General features: G+C 52.5%; 1 protein-coding gene across 51 annotated transcripts in view, besides 4 other annotated features; it reads left to right on the top strand.

Annotated features, from left to right (window-relative positions):
* The window catches only part of KDM2B (lysine demethylase 2B), a 173,819-nt gene that overhangs the window by 112,671 nt on the left and 42,761 nt on the right, over positions 1 to 18,387 (top strand). For 46 of the 51 annotated variants that reach the window (XR_007063140.1, XM_047429682.1, XM_047429681.1 and 43 more), the window contains one exon: positions 16,265 to 16,489. Coding sequence is in view for 50 of the 51 variants with exons in the window: in XM_047429682.1 (XP_047285638.1) it covers positions 16,265 to 16,489 (225 nt within the window). In the remaining variant the exon portion in view is untranslated. Of the gene's footprint in view, positions 1 to 2,230; positions 2,452 to 16,264; positions 16,490 to 18,387 lie in introns of those variants that run through there. The other 5 variants (XM_047429723.1, XM_047429722.1, XM_047429721.1 and 2 more) reach the window with 1 other exon arrangement.
* Positions 1,803 to 2,612: a silencer, noted in NCBI's record as "silent region_4974". NCBI's record gives its function as "represses an Ori minimal core promoter by ATAC-STARR-seq in GM12878 lymphoblastoid cells {active_cell/tissue: GM12878}" and the evidence as "EXISTENCE:reporter gene assay evidence [ECO:0000049][PMID:35858748]".
* Positions 2,893 to 2,942: a silencer, noted in NCBI's record as "silent region_4973". NCBI's record gives its function as "represses an Ori minimal core promoter by ATAC-STARR-seq in GM12878 lymphoblastoid cells {active_cell/tissue: GM12878}" and the evidence as "EXISTENCE:reporter gene assay evidence [ECO:0000049][PMID:35858748]".
* Positions 15,871 to 16,684: an enhancer, noted in NCBI's record as "H3K27ac-H3K4me1 hESC enhancer chr12:121890728-121891541 (GRCh37/hg19 assembly coordinates)". NCBI's record gives its function as "activates a minimal SCP1, AML or CMV promoter by ChIP-STARR-seq in primed H9 embryonic stem cells {active_cell/tissue: H9 hESC(primed)}" and the evidence as "EXISTENCE:reporter gene assay evidence [ECO:0000049][PMID:30033119]".
* Positions 16,685 to 17,499: an enhancer, noted in NCBI's record as "H3K27ac-H3K4me1 hESC enhancer chr12:121889913-121890727 (GRCh37/hg19 assembly coordinates)". NCBI's record gives its function as "activates a minimal SCP1, AML or CMV promoter by ChIP-STARR-seq in primed H9 embryonic stem cells {active_cell/tissue: H9 hESC(primed)}" and the evidence as "EXISTENCE:reporter gene assay evidence [ECO:0000049][PMID:30033119]".

Genomic DNA, 18,387 nt, shown 5'->3' with positions numbered 1-18,387 from the left:
TCTCGCTCTGTCGCCCAGGCTGGAGTGCAGTGGCACAATCTTGGCCCACTGCAACCTCTGCCTCCCAGGTTTAAGTGATTCTCCTGCCTCAGCACCCCCACGTAGCTGGGATTACAGGTGCGCACCACCACACCGAGCTAATTTTTGTATTTTTAGTAGACACTGGGTTTCACCATGTTGGCCAGGCTGGTCTTGAATTCTTGACCTCAGGTGATTCACCCTCCTCAGCCTCCCAAAAGTGCTGGGATTACAGGCGTGAGCCACCGCGCCCAGCCATCAAGGTAGCTTTTAAAAAGCTGAGACCTTTGGGAATGGAGTGATGTGGGGTGGGGTGGGGGGGTTAGGGTGTATTCTTTTGCTTGTTGTTTCTGTTGCAACTTTGAGAAGATTCTGAAAAATAAGAGGGGAGTGATGGCCGGGCATGGTGGCTCATGCCTGTAATCCCAGCACTTTGGGAGGCTGAGGTGGGTGGATCACTTGAGGCTAGGAGCTCCAGACCAGCCTGGCCAACATGGTGAGACCCCCCTCTTTACTAAAAATACAAAAATTAGCTGGGCGTGGTAGCGCCCACCTGTAATCCCAGCTACTCTGGAGGCTGAGGCACACGAATCGATTGAACCCAGGAGGTGGAGGTTGCAGTGAGCCGAGATCCACTGCACTCCAGCCTGGGCGACAGAGTGAGAGTCTGTCTCAAAAAAAGGAGAGTAAGGAAGGAAACTCAGAACAGATACGTTTCGGCAAAGAGCAAGTCGACTGGGATTTTTTCTATAGTGGGTGTGTAAATTTCAGACTTTAAAATCCACTCAGTAAAACTGACATCCCTGCTTATTCACTTTTGCCGACTCTGCTAGAAGCCTCCTGAGTTTTGTTTACAAGGTCTCCGGCACACAGCCTGCCTTCTTTGAAAGGCCAGGCCAGGACCAGCCTGCCCATCCCTTCTGTTCTCACTGGATTTCGTGGCCAGTGGCCTGGACGTGACTAACAGATGGCCATTGCAGAGCTGATCACCTGATTTCATGGCTTATTCTTGGGAAAGCCTCTGATCTTTTTACAGAAGGTTATCCATCCCTTGGTAAATCCTTCCCCTTGTATAGATGGAGAAACTGAACAGGTACAGGTGTGCATATTTAGTGTTACCTTGGACAGGTGGATGATATGTATGCCAAGTCCTCCTTAGCTTGTGTTTAGCTTTGGTTTTGATGCTTATAACAGCTTTGGTCGTTCTAGCTCATGGTCATGAGCTCTTTCAGAGAGGCTGCTGGCTTAAGTGCCCGATAGACTTTTTTTTTGAATGAATGAAGATCTATCTGGATTTCTAGCAACACTTTTCTTCAGGAGTGGGCTGCAGCTGGAGTGAGCACTAGGAACCTTTGCAGCTTAAGAATTCAGAAACCCACACCTCCCCAGCCAGCCTAAGGGGCAGCCAGTCTCCTAGGAGAGCTGGGTTCTGGCCTGCGACGTCCTCCACCTTTCGGAGGTCAACTCAGAAGGCGGTACCTGTCCAAGGGAGGGGGCGCCCACCTCAGGGTAGAGTCAGGGCGTTCTGACAGCCCCCGTCAGGCGACTCGAGTGGAACTCCCGCCTGCACTACTTGACCCTGCAAAGGCGAACCCGAGTGCCGGAGGTGCAGCGCCAGGAGGCCGGCCCAGCCCAACCGCCCGCGTCGGGGGAGACTGGGCTCTCAGAGCTTATCCAGGCCAGCGGTCCTGCAGGCTCTGGGTCGGGGGTTCCCGGGTTCGTGCGCTTCAGGTCCTGGTCCTGCAGCGAGTGCAAACCCGGCAGCCCGTGTGCCTGCTGCAAGGGACCTGGGGACCCGCTCCTGGCGTCGGGTGCAGAGTCGTCCCCCACGGCCCGGGCGCCCCCGGGCTTCCGCGAGACGCCCCACGGGACCACACAAAGGACCCCACCCCAGGCCGGGCGCGCATTTCCTGTTGCAGCGGTGGCGGCGTGCAGCCACCCATGTGCATCCCGCGGCGCGCGGGCCAGGCCGGGCCGGGCGGGGCGCGGGGCACGCCCCCACGCAGCCCCAGTCCCCGCGCTCCGGCCGCGAGGGACCGCCCTCGGCGGCCCGCCCCCGTGTCACCGCAGGCCGGGCTCCCTTTGTGTGCGGCCCCAGCGCCGCGGCCGCGCCATTGGCCCGCCCGCCCGGGGGGCCAGCCCCTTCCTGGCTCGCCTCATGCATATGCATGGCGCCCCGGCCCTCCCCCGCCGGCCCCTCCCCGCCCCCTCCAGCGCGGGCGTGCGAGGCGCGCGGCGCGGCTCCCTCCTCGCGGCAGCGGGAGCCCGAGCCCGAGCCCGAGCCCGAGCCAGGGCGAGCCGAGCCTGCTCCGGGCGGGCGGCGGCGGCGGCGCCGCTCCAGCCATGTCAGCGCGCGCGAGCCTGGGCCCACCATGAGCCATGGCCATGTCCGTGAGCGCCGAGGACGACGACTATGAATCGGAGCCGGACCAGGTCGGCGGCCCGGGGTGGGGCTGAGGGAGGGACCCGCCGCACGACCTCCCGACCGCCTGTCTGACGCGCCGAGGGCGGCCGCGACGCCGCCGCCGCCGCGATGAGGAGAAAGTTTTGCTGCCGCTGCCGGCGGGGCGGCCGGGGCCGGGCCCGAGCGGGGCGTAGAGGAGCGCGGCAGGCCCGCAGCCGGCCCGGGCAGGGGGCGTGTGCGGCCGAGCGAGCGCACTGGGGGCCATCGGGCACCGCGGGGACAATGTGGGCCGCCGGGCCTCGCCGTCGGGCGGGCCTGCCGGGCGCCGGCCACGGCCCGGGGCAAGTTGCCGGCGGCCGCGGGGCGCGCCGCGCCCTCCCCCGGCGCCCTCGCCCGCGGCCCACGCGCGTGCCGGCTGCCCCGGGAGCACCCGGACCCCGCGGGCGCCGGCACCTCCTGCCTCTGCGTTCGCAAAGTTGTGCCAGGACCCTCGGCTTCGGGGCTGGAGCGCTCCCGGGGCCCGTGGGCCCGACGGCCCGAGCTTTTGTCTGGGCGCCGCGCGCCCGCCGCCCGCCGTGGGCAGACGGAGACAGGAAGGGGTGCGAGCCGCGGGCCGGCGCGGGCCACCCGGAACCCGGGCGAATCCGCACGGCGGCAGCGGCGGCGGCGGCGGAGGAAGCCGCGACCCCAGATGGCAGGAGTTGGCCTCGGTGGATTCAGAAGGAAAAGCAACCTCTCTCGGGACCAGGGGGAGAAATCTGTGTGTAAAACAAAGCCCTGGGTGTGTTTACGGCGTGAATTTACTCCGGGAAGGTTCGTGTTTAGGAAGAAGGCGAAAAAAGTTGAGGTTTTACGAAGTATAATCTGCAAAATAATACTTGGAACAGGACGCAGGCCAGGTAGACCTGTCCGAGGAATTAAGAATGGGATGGATTGAGTTAGCATGTGGCATTGGACGGACTTGGGTGCATAAAACGCTTATTTATAATCCTGGTGGGATAAAGGTGTTGTGGAATGACCCAGCCAAAATGTGGTAACTTTTTTTTTTTTTCATCATTAGGTGCAATTGAGGAAGTGCTCTATAGGCTGCGCTTAAATCGTATTATACGTAGTATTAAGTGGTTTTACCTAACAGGCAGTTGATTTTTATTTTCTCAGCTTTGTTGGAGAATTTTCAGGCACGTGTGCGTTTTGAGGTGTTAGGAATCTCACGGCTCTTTCGGATTGGATTAACCCAGGGACGATTCAAGTGCTTTTGGCTTGAACTTTTATTAAGTCAGTAGCCCTACGTGTGAATGGCTCTCAAAGTCTTGTTCCATAGATCACACTTCAATTCCTGCTTTGAACATTTTCATTTCAGTTTGGAGTCTACTTAATCCTGCGACAGTTTGCCATTTCTGGGGCATTTGGTCATTCATTCGTAGGATGTCAGTATTCTGTGTCAGCTGGGCTTTGATGTCTCCACTGAGCTTTGGTGTTTCAGGATTGGGGTTCCTGTTAGCTGATTTTTGTTTGTTTTTTAAATTTGGTCATACCCTATGGCCTGTAGATACAATCTTTGACACTGCAAGACTTATTGTGTCTCTGGGCTTAAAAACATGTTTTCGGGTCCTGCCACTCCTGAGAGAAACTTCTGTTAAGAGAGGACCTGTAGGCCGTGCGCGGTGGCTCACACCTGTAATCCCAGCACTTTGGGAGGCCAACGCGGGTGGATCACTTGAGCTCAGGAGTTCGAGACCAGCCTGGCCAACATGGTGAAACCCTGTCTCTACTAAAAATACAAAAGTGAGCCCGGCGTGGTGGCCGGTGCCTTTAATCCCAGCTAATCAGGAGGCTGAGGCAGGAGAATCGCTTGAACCCAGGAGGCGGAGGTTGCGGTTGCAATGAGCCGAGATCGTGCCACTGCACTCCAGCCTGAGCGACGAGAGTGAGACTCTGTCTCAAAAAAACAAAAACAAAAACAAAAACAAACAAACCTGTATTCACTGTAGCCAAATTTTTTCTTCCTCCTTCTCACATTGGTCAAGCCGATTGTGGCACTTGTGGAGTCCTTAGCAACGACTTGAGGTTGTATTGTTAACTTTAAGATGATTTTTTTTTCCCACTCAGTGCACTGAGGGAGACGACATCTAAGCCAGGGCAGTGGGGGGCAGGCTTGTCTCGTAGTCCCAACAGAGAAGGTGTTTGTCAGCTAAGGTACCCCGTAGTTGGGGGACACTCTCCTTGCCTCCCTGCATGCTTTCCTCAACAGTTTTCTCAGCCTGAGCCTGAGAAGAGTGGCTTCCTCTGAGGACCTCGAAAGCATTTGCATCTTCCAAAGCACAGCGAGGGTCTCTGGAGTCTCCAGCTTGCAGGCTCCAGACCCAGCTCTTCTCGAAGTTTCTCTGTACCTCTGTCCCACCCTGCTGAATGGGTTTGGCACCAAAGGAGAAGATCCTTCATGAGGAGAGGTTGCCAAGTCCTGGAGTGTGGATGAACAAGTAGACTTGCCCACCTGCTGGATGAAAGGACCCGTCGGAGGGAGGCCCTGGTGGGAGGCTGCTGCTGCCCCGTCCATCTCTGTAGTTGGTGTAGCCCTCACGCCCACCCCATCAGAGTTTTGGCTGCTCCACCTTCCGAGCCTGTGTACTTCTCATCCCCACCTGAGACCTGTCGTGCTGCGCTGGCCTGTCTGCCCCATGCCTTCCCTCAGCAGCCTGGGTTTCCCCAAGTGTCACAGCCTGTGGGACAGGAGACAGGGGATGGGCCCGCGGTGAGCGAGCCATGTTGGCGGGAGACCCCTTGTGTGCTCTTTGCCGGTGTGCACCCTTGGCGGGAACTTCTCCCACAGACTTCATTTGCTTCTCTAGTACAAAATGTGTCAGAAAATTCTTCAGCTTGCTTTCCAAGTTGAAGAGGTGTCTCCTAAAGGAGGGCTTTTAGAAGAATTCTTGTTCCATCTTGTTTTTTGTTTTGAGTCAGGGTCCTGCTCTGTCACGCAGGCTGGAGTACAGTGATATGATTATAACTCATTGCAGTCTTGAACTCCTGGGCTCAAGCGATCCTCCTGCCTCAGCCTCCTGAGTAGCCAGGACTACAGGCACGCATCACCACACTCAGCTACTAATTTTTTTATTTTTTATTTATATAGAGATGGGGTCTTGATATGTTGCCCAGGCTGGTCTTGAACTTCTGGCCTCAATGATCCTCCTGTCTTGGCTTTCCAAAGTGTTGGGATTACAGGCATGAGCCACTGCGCCTGGCCAGTTTTTTTTTTTCTCTTGATGTGAAAACAGCTTCTATTATTTTTTCTATAAAAATGACTACAGGCTGGGTACAGTGGCTCATGCCGGTTATCCCAGCACTTATGGGAGGCTGAGGCAGGTGGATGGCTTGAGCTCGGGTGTTTGGGACCAGCCTGGGCAACATGGTGAAATCCCATCTACAAAAAAGTACAAAAATTAGCCAGGTATGGTGTCATGCACCTGTAGTCCCAGCTACTCGGAGGCTGAGGTGGGAGAATTGCTTGAGCGCAGGAGTTCGAAGCTGCAGTGAGTAGTGATGGCCCCATTGCATTCCAGCTTGGGTGACAGAGTAAGACCCTTTCTCAAAAAAATTTTTTTAAATAAAAATAAAAATGGCTACAGCTTGTTGAAAAAATCAGGAAATTATGGAGAAGAAAATCTCTCAGAAATTTATGTGGTCATAGAACCATTGTTACCAATTATAGCTATTTTATTTTACTTTAAGTTCTCGGATACATGTGCAGAACGTGCAGGCTTGTTATATAGGTATACATGTGGCATGGTGGTTTGCTGTACCTATCAACCCATCATCTAGGTTTTAAGCCCCACATGCATTAGGTATTTGTCTTAGTGCTTTTTTTTTTTTTGAGACGGAGTCTCGCTCTGTTGTCCAGGCTGGAGTGCAGTGACGCGATCTCAGCTCACTGCAATCTCTGCTTCCTGGGTTCAAGCGATTTTTCCTGCCTCAGCCTCCTGAGTGGCTAGGACTACAGGTGTGCGCCACCATGGCTGGCTAATTTTTGTATTTTTAGTAGAGACGGGGTTTCACCATGTTGGTCAGGCTGGTCTCGAACTCCTGACCTTGTGATCCACCCGCCTTGGCCTCCCAAAGTGCTGGGATTATAGGCGTGAGCCACCACGCCTGGCCTCTTTTTTTTTTTTTTTTGCTGAGGCAGGGTCTCACTTTGTTGCACAGGCTGGAGTGCAGAGGTGCCATCACACCTGGCTAATTTTTGTGTTTTTTGTAGAGATGCAATTTTGCTGTGTTGCCCAGGCTGGGCTCGAACTCCTGGGCTCAAACGATCTGCTGCCTCAGCCTCCCAAAGTGCTGGCATTACAGGTGTGAGCTACCACACCTGGCCTATAGCTTCTTAAACAGTGAAATTTTGCCAGCCGGGCGCGGTGGCTCACGCCTGAAATCCCAACACTTTGGGAGGCTGAGACGGGCGAATCACAAGGTCAGGAGTTTGAGACCAGCCTGGCCAACATGGTGAAACCCCGTCTCTACTAAAAATACAAAAAATTAGCTGGGCATGGGGCAGATGCCTGTAATCCCAGCTACTAGGGAGGCTGAGGTAAGAGAATCGCTTGAACCTGGGAGGCAGAGGTTGCAGTGAGCTGAGATTGTGCCACTGCACTCTAGCCCAGGCAACAGTACGAGACTCCGTCTCAAAAAAAAAAAAAAAGTGAAATTTTAAGACAGGGGCCTCTGATCCTTCTTGAAAATGTATGCAAAAGTTTTGTTACTTTGTGCCTATATACATTTTTGGAGGAAGAGGTCTTTAGCTTTCCTCAGATTCTTCAGAGGTCCTCCCATCCCCTGGGCTTTCTGGTAGTTCTTGTGTTTTTAGTCTCTTGCTCCTTACTCTCTCTATATTAAAAAACCCAGAGCCTGGAGTCTACAGGCGTGTGTTAAGGGGCCTGCAACACTCTGGTAAAATCCAGCTTTTCCTGGGCTGTCCATTATGCTTGCAGATTTGAGGACAGGAATAATACTGAGATAAATACAGCTGTGTCGTGCGATACAGTACAACATTAGCATGCACAAAGAAATCGGGGGGCCTGTGGCCTTCCCTTGTGGGGCTGTCCGTGTAATGTTATTTGGAGTACTTTGGCAGAAAACTTGGGACTGTCTTAATTGTAAAAACATATAGCTACATTTTACTGTTTTTCTCACTTCTCTTGACAGTTGAAACTTGTAACTGCTCCCTTCTTGAAACTTGCCTGGCTCTTGTGATGCCACAGCCTCCTACTGCTTGTCTGGCCTTTCTGGCCATTTCTCAGCAGGTTGGTTTTCCTCACCTGCCGGTTGAATGTTTTCAGTCTTGAAGGGACTGTTGGAGTTCTCTTTTCACTCTTCCATTCCCCCTGGACATCCTCACGGACTTAACTAGTTTGAGCACCTATGCAGTGTCGGTTCCCAGGTGTGTACCTTAGCTCTGGTTCCACCTGCTTGCTGGGCAACACCTTCCTTGGCTGTCCCATGGGCCCCTTGGATTCCGCATGCCCACAGCAGTCCTTGTTTCTTCCCCTCTCCCGAGCCCCCTTGTTCTTCTGTTGCTCAAGTCGGAAACCTCAAAGTCCTCCAGAAGTCTGCTTGCATACCCCATGTTCAGCCAATCACCGGGTCTTCTAAAACTGGGTCTGCTTCTAGAGCATCTCCTGAATCATCCCCTCCTCTTCATTCCTTCCATTCCTTCTGCTCCTGCCTTCATCATCTTCAGCTGATCTCCCTGTCTTTTGTCTTGCCCACTGCCCCAAAAATATCCACTCCCCTCACTGTTGCCAGAATACAGTCATGTTGTGAAGCCTTTAACTTACTGTGATGGGTCCAGTTCCCTACTGTGGTAGATGAGGCCCTGCAGGATGAGGCTCCAGCCACTTCAGAGCTGTTTTCCAGCAGCTGTGTCGAGCTATTTGCAGTTCCTTGAATGTGTCACGCAGTTTCACATCTCTCTCTTGTTCTTCCTTCTGCCTAGAATATCCACTTCGTAACCCCACTCCCACCCCTGGCACGCAGGGTCCTGTTCTCCCTCTAAGACCCACCTTAGTCACCACCTCCTATGTTCTGGGGCGCTTTTTCCAGCCTCCCTTATCCATGATATGAGGCATCTCTTCTGGGTTAGCATGCCAGGGTCCAGGCTTTAGAGCCACTGCCTGGGTCTGTATCTCAGCTTTCTCATTCATTGATAGTATGACATCGGGCGGATGACTTAACTGTGCCATGTCTCAGTTTCCTCACTTGTAGATGGAGATAATAGTAATTCCTTCCTCATAGATTATTGATACAGAGTGTGGTGGTTCACGCCGGTAATCCTAAAGCTTTGGGAGCCTGAGGTGGTAGGATTGCTTGAGGCTAGGAGTCCAAGACCAGCCTGGGTTACATAGCAAGACCCCATCCCTACCAGAAAAACAAAAAAGATTGTTGATACAGATATTGATGAATGACTAGCACTTAAGTAAGTGTTACCTTTTGGCCAGGTTCGATGGCTCACACCTGTAATCCTAGCACTTTGGGAGGCCAAGTCGGTCGGGTCACTTGAACCCAGAAGATCGAGACCAGCCTGTGTGACATAGTGGGACTCCGTCGCTCAAAAAAAAGAAAAAGAAAATAAAAATTAGCTGGTGTGGTGGCACATGCCTGTATCTCGGCTACTAAGGAGGCTGACGTGGGAGGATCACCTGAGCCCTGGGAAGTCGAGGCTGCGGTTAGCTGAGATCACGCCACTGCACTCCAGCCTGGGTGACAGAGCGAGACCCTGTCTCAAAAACAGCTCTGCCACTGGAGTGCAGGGGCACGATCTTGGCTTACTGGAACCTCCACCTCCTGGTTTAAGTGATTCTCCTGCCTCAACCTAGATGTTAGTTTTTAATGTCATCATAATGATGTTGCATTGCATTTATGTGGTTGCATGTCTTTCTTTTTCCAGAGTGTAATGCCTTTCAGACTAGGGGACACATTTTACTCATTTCTGTAGTTCTAGCACTTAGCATCAAATCAGATACATAATTCACAGCCAGGAAACACTTGGGTTGGTGGATTTGTGAATTAGGGGGTTAATGAATGAGTCTCCAGTGCAAATTACATACTTTATTAGTTAGTGATGTTAAGCATCTTTTCATGTGCTTACTGGCCATTTGTAGATCTTTTTTGGAGAAATAGCTATTTAAATCCTTTGCCCATTTAAAAATTACCTATTCATCTCTTTATTATTGAGTTGTCGGAGTTCTTTGTATATTCTAAGTACTAACTGCTTGCTAGATACATGATTTACAAATATTTTCTCCCATTCTGTGGGCCTTTGCACATGATAGTGCCCTTTAAAGCACCAAAGTTTTTTTTTTTTTTTCTGAGATGGAGTTTCACTCTTGTTGCCCAGGCTGGAGTGCAATGGTGTGATCTTGGCTCACTGCAACCTCTGCCTCCTGGGTTCAAGCGATTCTCTTGCCTCAGCCTCCTGAGTAGCTGGGATTACAGGCATGTGCAACCACACCTGGCTAATTTTGTATTTTTAGTAGAGATGGGGTTTCTCCATGCTTGTGAGGCTGGTCTCCAACTCCCAACCTCAGGTGATCCTCCCGCCTTGGCCTCCCAAACTGCTGGGATCACAGGCGTGAGCCACCATGCCCAGCAAAAGTTTTTAATTTTGATGAAGTCGAATTTATCTTTTTTTTGACACCTGTGCTTTTGGTGTCATATCAGAGAAACCCTTGCCTAATTCAAAGTCATAAAGATTTACACTTGTGTTTTCTTCTAAGAGGTTTATAATTTTAGCTGTGTGTTTAGGTCTTTGATCCATTTTTGAGTTAATTTGTATATGTGGTGTGAGGTAGGGGTCTATCTTTGTTCTTTTGCTTGTGGATAGCTATTCGTCCCAGCACCATACGTTGAAAAGACCATTCTTTACCCAACTGAATTGCCTTGGCATCCTTATTAAAAATCATTTGGTCAAAATATGACTTTATTTCTGGACTCTCAATTCTGTTTCATTGATCTATAGGTCTGTCTTTATGCCACTACCATCACAGCCTTGTTTATTGTAGCTTTGTAGTGAGTTTTGAAATCAGAAAGTGTGTGTCTTTTTTTTTTTTTTTTTTGAGGCAGAGTCTCGCTCTGTTGCCAGGCTGGAGTGCAGTGGTGTGATCTTGGCTCACTACAACCTCTGCCTCCCGGGTTCAAGTGAATCTCCTGCCTCAGCCTCCTGAGTAGCTGGGACTACAGGTGTGTGCCACCATGACCAGCTAATTTTTGTATTTTTAGTAGAGACAGGGTTTCACCAGGTTGAGCAGGATGGTCTCAATCTGTTGATCTTGTGATCTGCCCACCTTGGCCTCCCAAAGTGCTGGGATTACAGGAGTGAGCCACCTTGCCCAGCCTTTTTAGATGGAGTTTCACTCTTGTTGCCCAGGCTGGAGTGCAATGTCATGATCTTGGCTCACTGTAACCTCCACCCACTGGGTTCAAGTGATTCTCCTGCCTCAGCCTCCCAAGTAGCTGGGATTACAGGCACGTGCCACCATGCCTGGCTAATTTTGTATTTTTAGTAGGGATGGGGTTTCACCATGTTGGACAGGCTGGTCTTGAACTTGTGACCTCAAGGGATCCACCTGCCTCAGCCTCCCAAAGTGCTGGGATTATAGGCGTGAGTCACCGCCCCCACCCCCCATCCCCCTATTTTTTTAAGATTGTTTTGGCCATTCCAGGTCTTTTGCATTTTCATGAATTTTAGGATAGTGTGTCCATTTCTGCAGAAAAGTCAGTTGAGTTTTTGTTTTGTTTTTATTTTTTTAATTCTTGTTTTGTTTTTGAGACAAGGTTTTATTCTGTCGTCCAGGTTGGATGCAGTGGCTTGATCTCAGCTCAGTGCAACCTCTGCTTCCTGTGCTCAAGTGATTCTCCAGCTTCAGCCTCCTGAGTAGCTCGGACTACAGGTGTGTGACAGCACACTCAGCTAGTCTTTTTATTTTTTTGGAATCTTGCTTTGTTGGCCAGGCTGGTCTTGAACTCCTGAGCTCAAGCGATCTGCCTATCTTGGCCTCCCAAAGTGCTGAGATTATAGGGGTGAGCCACTGTGCCCAGCCCCAGTTGGGATTTTGCTTGGGGTCGCGTTGAGTCTGTTGATCACTTTGGGGAGTATAACCGATCTTAACAATATTAAATCTTCCAATTCATGAACACGGATGTCTTTCCTTTAATTTAGGTTAATCTAAGTAATTTTAATCCCTATAATTTAGAGCTGAGGGATTGAGGAGGTTCTGTCCATGCATTTTCTGGTGGATAATATCTGGTAGACCAGAGGAACTCAAATATTGGTGGGATGAATGAATAAACCTTGATAGCATTCACTTAAAGGACAATGCTCTTGAGTTGCTGATGGAGAAGAGGTGTAGGAATACCAAGATATTTGTGTGTGTGTGTGTGTGTGTGTGTGTGTGTGTGTGTATGTTTCCGATCTTCCTAACCTTTCATAGTGGGCTGAGGATATGGTTCCTGGGCTGATAAAATCAACAAGTCGCCTTGGTGTTGGGGATGCTGGTTCGTAAATGAATGTCTGGGGATGCCGTCACTTCCTTTGCTGGGACAGGGGTAGGACAGAGTGGAAGTTAGAATTGGTGTTTGAGGCCAGGCACAGTGACTCATGCCTGTAACCCCAGCACTTCAGGAGGCTGAGGCGGGCAAATCACTTGAGGCCGGGAGTTTGAGACCAGCCTGGCCAACATGACGAAATGCTATCTCTACTAAAAATATAAAACTTAGCTGGGCTTGGTGGCGCACACCTGTAATTCCAGCTATTCGGGAGGCTGAAGCACAAGAATTGCTTGAACCCGGGAGCCAGAGGTTATAGTGAGCCAAGATGACGCCACTGCACTCCGGCCTGGGTGACACAGTGAGACTCTATCTCAAAAAAAAAGAAAAGAAAAGAAAAGAAAAGAATTGGCGTTTGAAACTTTGGGTAGCACCCAAAAGATATCAGGACAGAGAAAGCTGTGTGCTGAAAGGAGAGAGCTCTGGCAGACTCACCTTCCTTTTTATTCCATTTGTCCCTTTTTGTGTCACTGTTTTCTGTATTCTGCCATCACGTTTCCTGGTTGGGTCTTCAGAGTCCCAGTTGGACTTTTTAATGGAGGCCTCCGAGGTCTGTCTTACCTGTGGGTTTTTCAGTGGGCTTCATTAGGATCCTGCGTTGCTCTGTTGTTGAACCAACTCTTGATGAGCCAGGCGGGGGCCACTGCCGGCAGCAGAAACCTTCCTGGCCTGATTTGGCAGCGGCTAGACAGGGCCTCATCAAGGTCTCGAGAGACTGCAGCTTCTCACACCTCTTCTTTCAGGATGTTGTCTGGTATGTGCTCTGTGATTTTCCCAGATGTCTCAACTGCTGTTGAGGTCCAGGCAGGTTGTTTTCCATAGGCTGGATGAGAAGGTGCTTTGGTTGGTGCAGGCAAATGGGCTTGTTTTGCAGTGACATAGGAGCTTCGAGACTCAGACTGGATTGGCCCAACGTTTTTACTTGCCCAGACACTGTCCTCGGGGCAGGGAGGCCAGAGGCACTCAGTGGCTATTGATACCTGGCGTTCCTTTGAACTCCTGGAATTTTTTCAGTTTTTTACCAGAGAAGCTCGTCTTTAGACTCTCCAGCTCCGGGGATCTGGTTTTGTCCTGGGAGGTGGCCCACACGCTGGCCACTTCACACCTGACTGGAGGCCTTAGACGCCGCCCATAGCATTGCCTGTGTTCCAGGTATTTGAAGAGTGAGCTGGTAACAGGGCACCTGTCGTTTGGAGGGGTAGAATCAGAAAGTGCTATTGTAGGCTGTGATGACAGGGAGAAACGTTTTTGGATTTCCGCTTCTCTGGAAGTAGCCGTGCTTCTCTGCACCTCTTGTTGGCACCCTTCGCACTGAGGCATCGTGGCACTAGCTGGGAAGCCCTTCCAGGAGCATGTGGCCATCCCAGTGGGTCTGTGGGCCCCTCGCTGCACTTCGCACATGCATTTGCTGTGGTTTAGTGTGTTCAGTGCACAGCACCGGAGTCCACGCATCATGCTGGTTCCATGACCACAGGCAAATTACTGGCTTCAGGAAGGCATCCTCTGCAGTGCTGTTATTGGGAAAGTTAGGTAATATCATCAGTAAAGTGATGGCCACGGTGCCCGCAGATGGGGGTGCTCAGGGAATCCCTGCCCTCACGCGGCATGGCCGTCATCTCGGTCCTTAGCGCTGCCTGCCTGGCCTTGGCTGCTCTGTTGGCTGCTCAGCTTCAGGTTCACAGTCTGCTCTGTGCCATTCTCAAATCCAGGAAGCTCTGAAAACTGATCTCGTTTTACTTCTCACGTGGGCAGCCAGACGTGACTCGGATGGATGTGTGTAGTGTGTGGTGGACTTGGCCCCCGAAAGGTGCTAATCGCAGTGGGACTATGCGAGTATGTTGGGGGCATCCGGCCCTCATTGTAAGGATGGATTTCTTCCTTTTTTGTTTTTTGAGACAGGGTCTTGCTCTGTCTCCTAGGCTGGAGTACAGTGGATGATCACAGCTCACTGCCACCTCAAATTCCTGGGCTCAAGCAATCCTCCCACCTCAGCCTCCTGAGTAGCTGGGTCTGCAGGTGCACACCACTACACCTGGCTAATTTTAAAAATTTTTTGTAGGTCTCACTATGTTGCCCAGGCTGATGTTGAACTCCTGACCTCAAGTGATCCTCCCACCTCAGACCCCAGCATGCTGGGCTTATAGGCGTGAGCCACCGTTCCTGGCGCCCTTTGCTGCTTTGGATGGTCCCTTTACCCAGGTGACTGGTGGTGGCCAGCTTGCCTGTGGGTGGCCCTGCAGTCCAGGGCTTGCCCTCCCTGTGACAAGGCCTTCTGCTGGGCTGCCCCAGAGCAGAGGGCAGGCATGACTGAGGGTCCTGAGCAGCTGGGGAAGACCAGTGGGAGATGAGGGTGGTAGAGCCGGGGAGCACCTCCCTTTCCTCTTTGGGGTTCACAGCAGGTTGAGCAGGGTAGAGGCCCAGAGCTCCAGTGCTTCCTGAGGGGCCACTCGGGCTGATGGGGGCCTGGAAGCTCCTTGAATGCTGTGGGAAGGTGAATCGGAGGGAGGGGTCTGCTTAGGTGTTGACAGCAAAGTGGGTGGCACGTGAGGCTGCGGGCTTTCTACAGGGACCACTGCACTGGAGAAGAAAGTTGATGGTGGCGAGGCTGTATTTGAGGAGAAAGGGGGGCTGTTTTTCTTCCTATGCAGTTGGAAGTTTCTAGGAAGCCCCTAGGGTGCAGGGAGTTGTGTGTGTTGTGAGAGGGGGTCCCTGTGATGTGGACCTTCTTCTCCATTGGAGTGTATGAATAGTAACAGCTCTTCTGGGTCTGTGTGCTCCCAAAAGTATGGGGTTTTGTTTGGGGATTCAAGTATGACAAGTCACTGAAATGAAGAGGGTGGGACTCTGGACCAAAGGGTGTTCAGTTAGCTGAAAAGGGGCTTTAGGCGTTAGATGCCGTTAGGTCAGCTGGTTTCCAGGGTGACCACGTGTCTCCCTGACAGGGACTTCACCATTTCTCAGCCACCCCAGGCTCTCCAGAAAGATGCCACAGACAAGAAAAGCTCTCCCATCCTGGTCCCTCCCACTACAGGTCCCAGGTGGACAGGGGACCTCTGTGGACAGTGTCCTCAGCAGCTAGCTTAGGGCTCCCCCGTAGATCATGGGTCTGCAGGAGGCTCTGGGGCTGGGAACCAGAGGGCAGGGGCTGTGGCTGTCCCATTTTCCTGGCTTAGCTACTAGCCCAGCTCTCTGTCCACCTACTGTCTCTCTCTTCTGTGAGTCCCAGGGAAGGGAGCATTTGGAGCCCATCTAGGGAAGATCTGAGTAGTCAGGGACCTAAAGGTTACTATCCCATCCTCCCTGGGGTGGCTCTGGTTTGTTGAGTGCATTCTGCATGCCAGGCTGGCTCGTAGAGAGGTGCAGTGGTGCACAAGACACCTGTGGTGAGTGCCCTCCTGTGCCCCGTCTCAAAGGGAAGGAACAGATGATTACCATCATGAGCGCTCTAACAGGATCTCCCAGAGGGGCCCTGAACCCAGTGCAGGTGGGCAGTAGGGGCTTCCAGAAGAAAGCAGCCTGTAAACTGACCAGACGGAATGAGTGGGCATCAGCCAAGTGGCTTGGGCGGGGGTGGGGTTGGCCTTCCGGGCTGGGGGAACAGAGACCGATTGTGTGGCCCCTTGCGGTCTTTCTTGGGGAGCAGACGGAGGTGGGAAAGGTGGGCAGGGTCCGAGCCTGTGGGTGCAGCCATGGAAGGTCTCGAGCTGTGTGCTGCGGCAAGAAGCACGCGCCCTCTGTCGTCCTCTCCTAGGGCTGCCATAACGGGTGGCTTAAAACAACCGGCCTTTCTTCTCTCCCGGTTCTGGAGGCCAGGAGTCTGAAGTCAAGGTGTGGGCTGGCGGGCCGGGCTGGCTCTGCGGGCTCTAGGGGAGGGTCCTTCCCCGCGCCTCCAGCTCCTGGTATGTGCTGCCATCCTTGGCACTTCTTGGCTTGTAGACAGGGCTCCAGTCTGTGGAAGGCCTGTGTCTTCACACACGTTCTCTACGTGCGTGTCTGTCTCTGTGTCCAAAAGTTCCCCTTTCGTAAGGACACCAGTCATACTGGATTAGCGTTCACCTGAATTACCTCGTTTAACCTGACGGTCTCTGCAAAGCCCCCATCTCCAAATAAAGATCACACTCTGAGGAATGGGGTTTAGAGCCCCCATCGTGTCTTTCTGGGGGTACACAGTTTGCTCCCTAACACCCTTTCCGGGGGTCTGGCCGTGCCTGCAGTCTCCCCATCTGACCAGTCGTGTCTGTTCCCCTGCAGAACCGGGCTGTGGGTCGGCCCAAGGGGAAGCTGGGCCCGGCCTCCGCGGTGAAGTTGGCCGCCAACCGGACAACGGCAGGAGCTCGGCGGCGCCGGACGCGATGCCGCAAGTGCGAGGCCTGCCTGCGGACCGAGTGCGGAGAGTGCCACTTCTGCAAGGACATGAAGAAGTTCGGGGGCCCCGGGCGCATGAAGCAGAGCTGCATCATGCGGCAGTGCATCGCGGTGAGTGCGGCCCCCGCCCAGCCCTGCGCTCGATTCAGGCCCCTGCGTGCCGGCCCGCGTGTCTGACCGCTGCTCGCTCTGGCCGCCCCTCCGCACACAGAGAAGCCGGGGCTGTGGACTCCCCGAGAGCTCTTCCTGTGGACGGGAAGGCGCTGGCCGCTTCGCAGGCTCAGGCCTCCTGCTCCTTCCCTCCCAGGGTGCTCAGGTACTTTGAAGTTGCTGCCATTAAAGATGACAGGCAGCCTGTCCTGTCTGTGACCCCGTTGCCAACATTACGGTTCTGGGTGACGGTTCTGGGCCCTTCCTTCCTTCCTTCCGGCCCTGCCTTCAGAGTCAGAAGTCTGGGTGGAAGGTCAGCGCCCCATCTCAGGGGGCTGCCCCCAACAAGGAGTGATTTATGGTACTGAGGAGCCGCGCCCGGGAGAGCCTGGCCCGCCCCTCCACACCGCCTGGCCTCAGCTCCGGCAGTGGCCCCGCGCCGCTGGTCTCGTCCCCAGACAGGGCAGTGGACATGGACTTCGCAACGGGGCGAGGTCGCGGGGTTTGCCCTTGAATTCCCTTGTACACACCCACATGCTCTGCCTTCCTCAGGGCGCTGCTCCCCGGGGGCCGGCGGTCCTCCCTGTGGAGGAGTCATCTCCCAGTCCCCGTGGAAAAGCAGGCTCGGCTGGAGGGACGGGATTCCTCGGCCCTGGTGCGCTCATCTGCAGGCCCAGCCTGGCATAGGGTGAGCCCTTCCTCCTTGGCTGTCGATGCCCCGCAGGCCCAGACACCTCAGCCATCTCCTTCCACGCATATTTCTTGTGTTTTGTTTTTTGAAATTGTGGTAAAAAAAATACATTAATCATTTTTAAGTATGCAGTACAGTAGTATTACCATATGCACGTTTTTGGGAAGCTGATCCCTAGAACTTTTTCATTTTGCAAAACTGAAACTCCATACCCACTGAAGCTCTACTCCCCTTTCCCCTCCCTCAGCCCGGGCAACCACCATTCCACTTTCAGTTTCTAAGAGCTTGACTCCTCTCGGGACCTCATAGAAGTGGAATTATGCAGTAATTGGCTTTCTGTGATTGGATTGGCTTGTTTATAGCCCTGAGCATAAAGTCCTCAGGGTTCATCCATGTTGAAGCATATGACAATTTCCTTTTTTTTTATGGCCGATTAATACTGAAAGTGTATTTGTACCAAATTTTCTTTTTTTTTTCTGAGATGGAGTCTTGCTCTGTTGCCCAGGCTGGAGTGCAGCAGTGGAATCTTGGCTTACAACAACCCCTGCCTCCTGGGTTCAAGCGATTCTCCTGCCTCAGTCTCCTGAGTAGCTGGGATTACAGGCACCTGCCACCACATCTGGCTAATTTTTATATTTTTAGTACAGACGGGGCTTCATCATGTTGGCCAGGCTGGTCTCGAACTCCTGACCTCAAGTGATCTACCCACCTCGGCCTCCAAGAGTGCTGGGATTACAGGCGTGAGCCACCACGCCTGGCTCAACTTTTCTTTATCCATTCATCTGTTGATGGACATATGGATTGCTTTCACCTCTTGCCTGTTGTGAATAGTGCTGCAGTGAATATGGGTGTGCAGATATCTCTTTGAGATCATGTTTTGAATTCTTCTGGATATACAATTGACCCTTGAACAACACAAGGGTTGGGGCACCATCTGACCTCTGTGCAGTTGAAAATCTGCATGTAACTTTTGACTCCCCTAAAACTTAACTACTGTTAGCCCTATTGTTGACCAGAAGCCTTACCAGTAACAAAAACAGTCCATTAACACATATCTTATATGTATTATATACTGTATTCTCACAATAAAATAAGCTAGAGAAAAGAAAATATTAAGAAGATCATAAGGAAAATATATTTATCATTCATTAAGTGGAAGTGGATCATC

The sequence above is a fragment of the Homo sapiens genome, chromosome 12, assembly GCF_000001405.40.
Source record: "Homo sapiens chromosome 12, GRCh38.p14 Primary Assembly".
Classification (NCBI taxonomy): Eukaryota; Metazoa; Chordata; class Mammalia; order Primates; family Hominidae; genus Homo; species Homo sapiens.
This window is presented reverse-complemented; position numbering and strand designations above follow the sequence as displayed.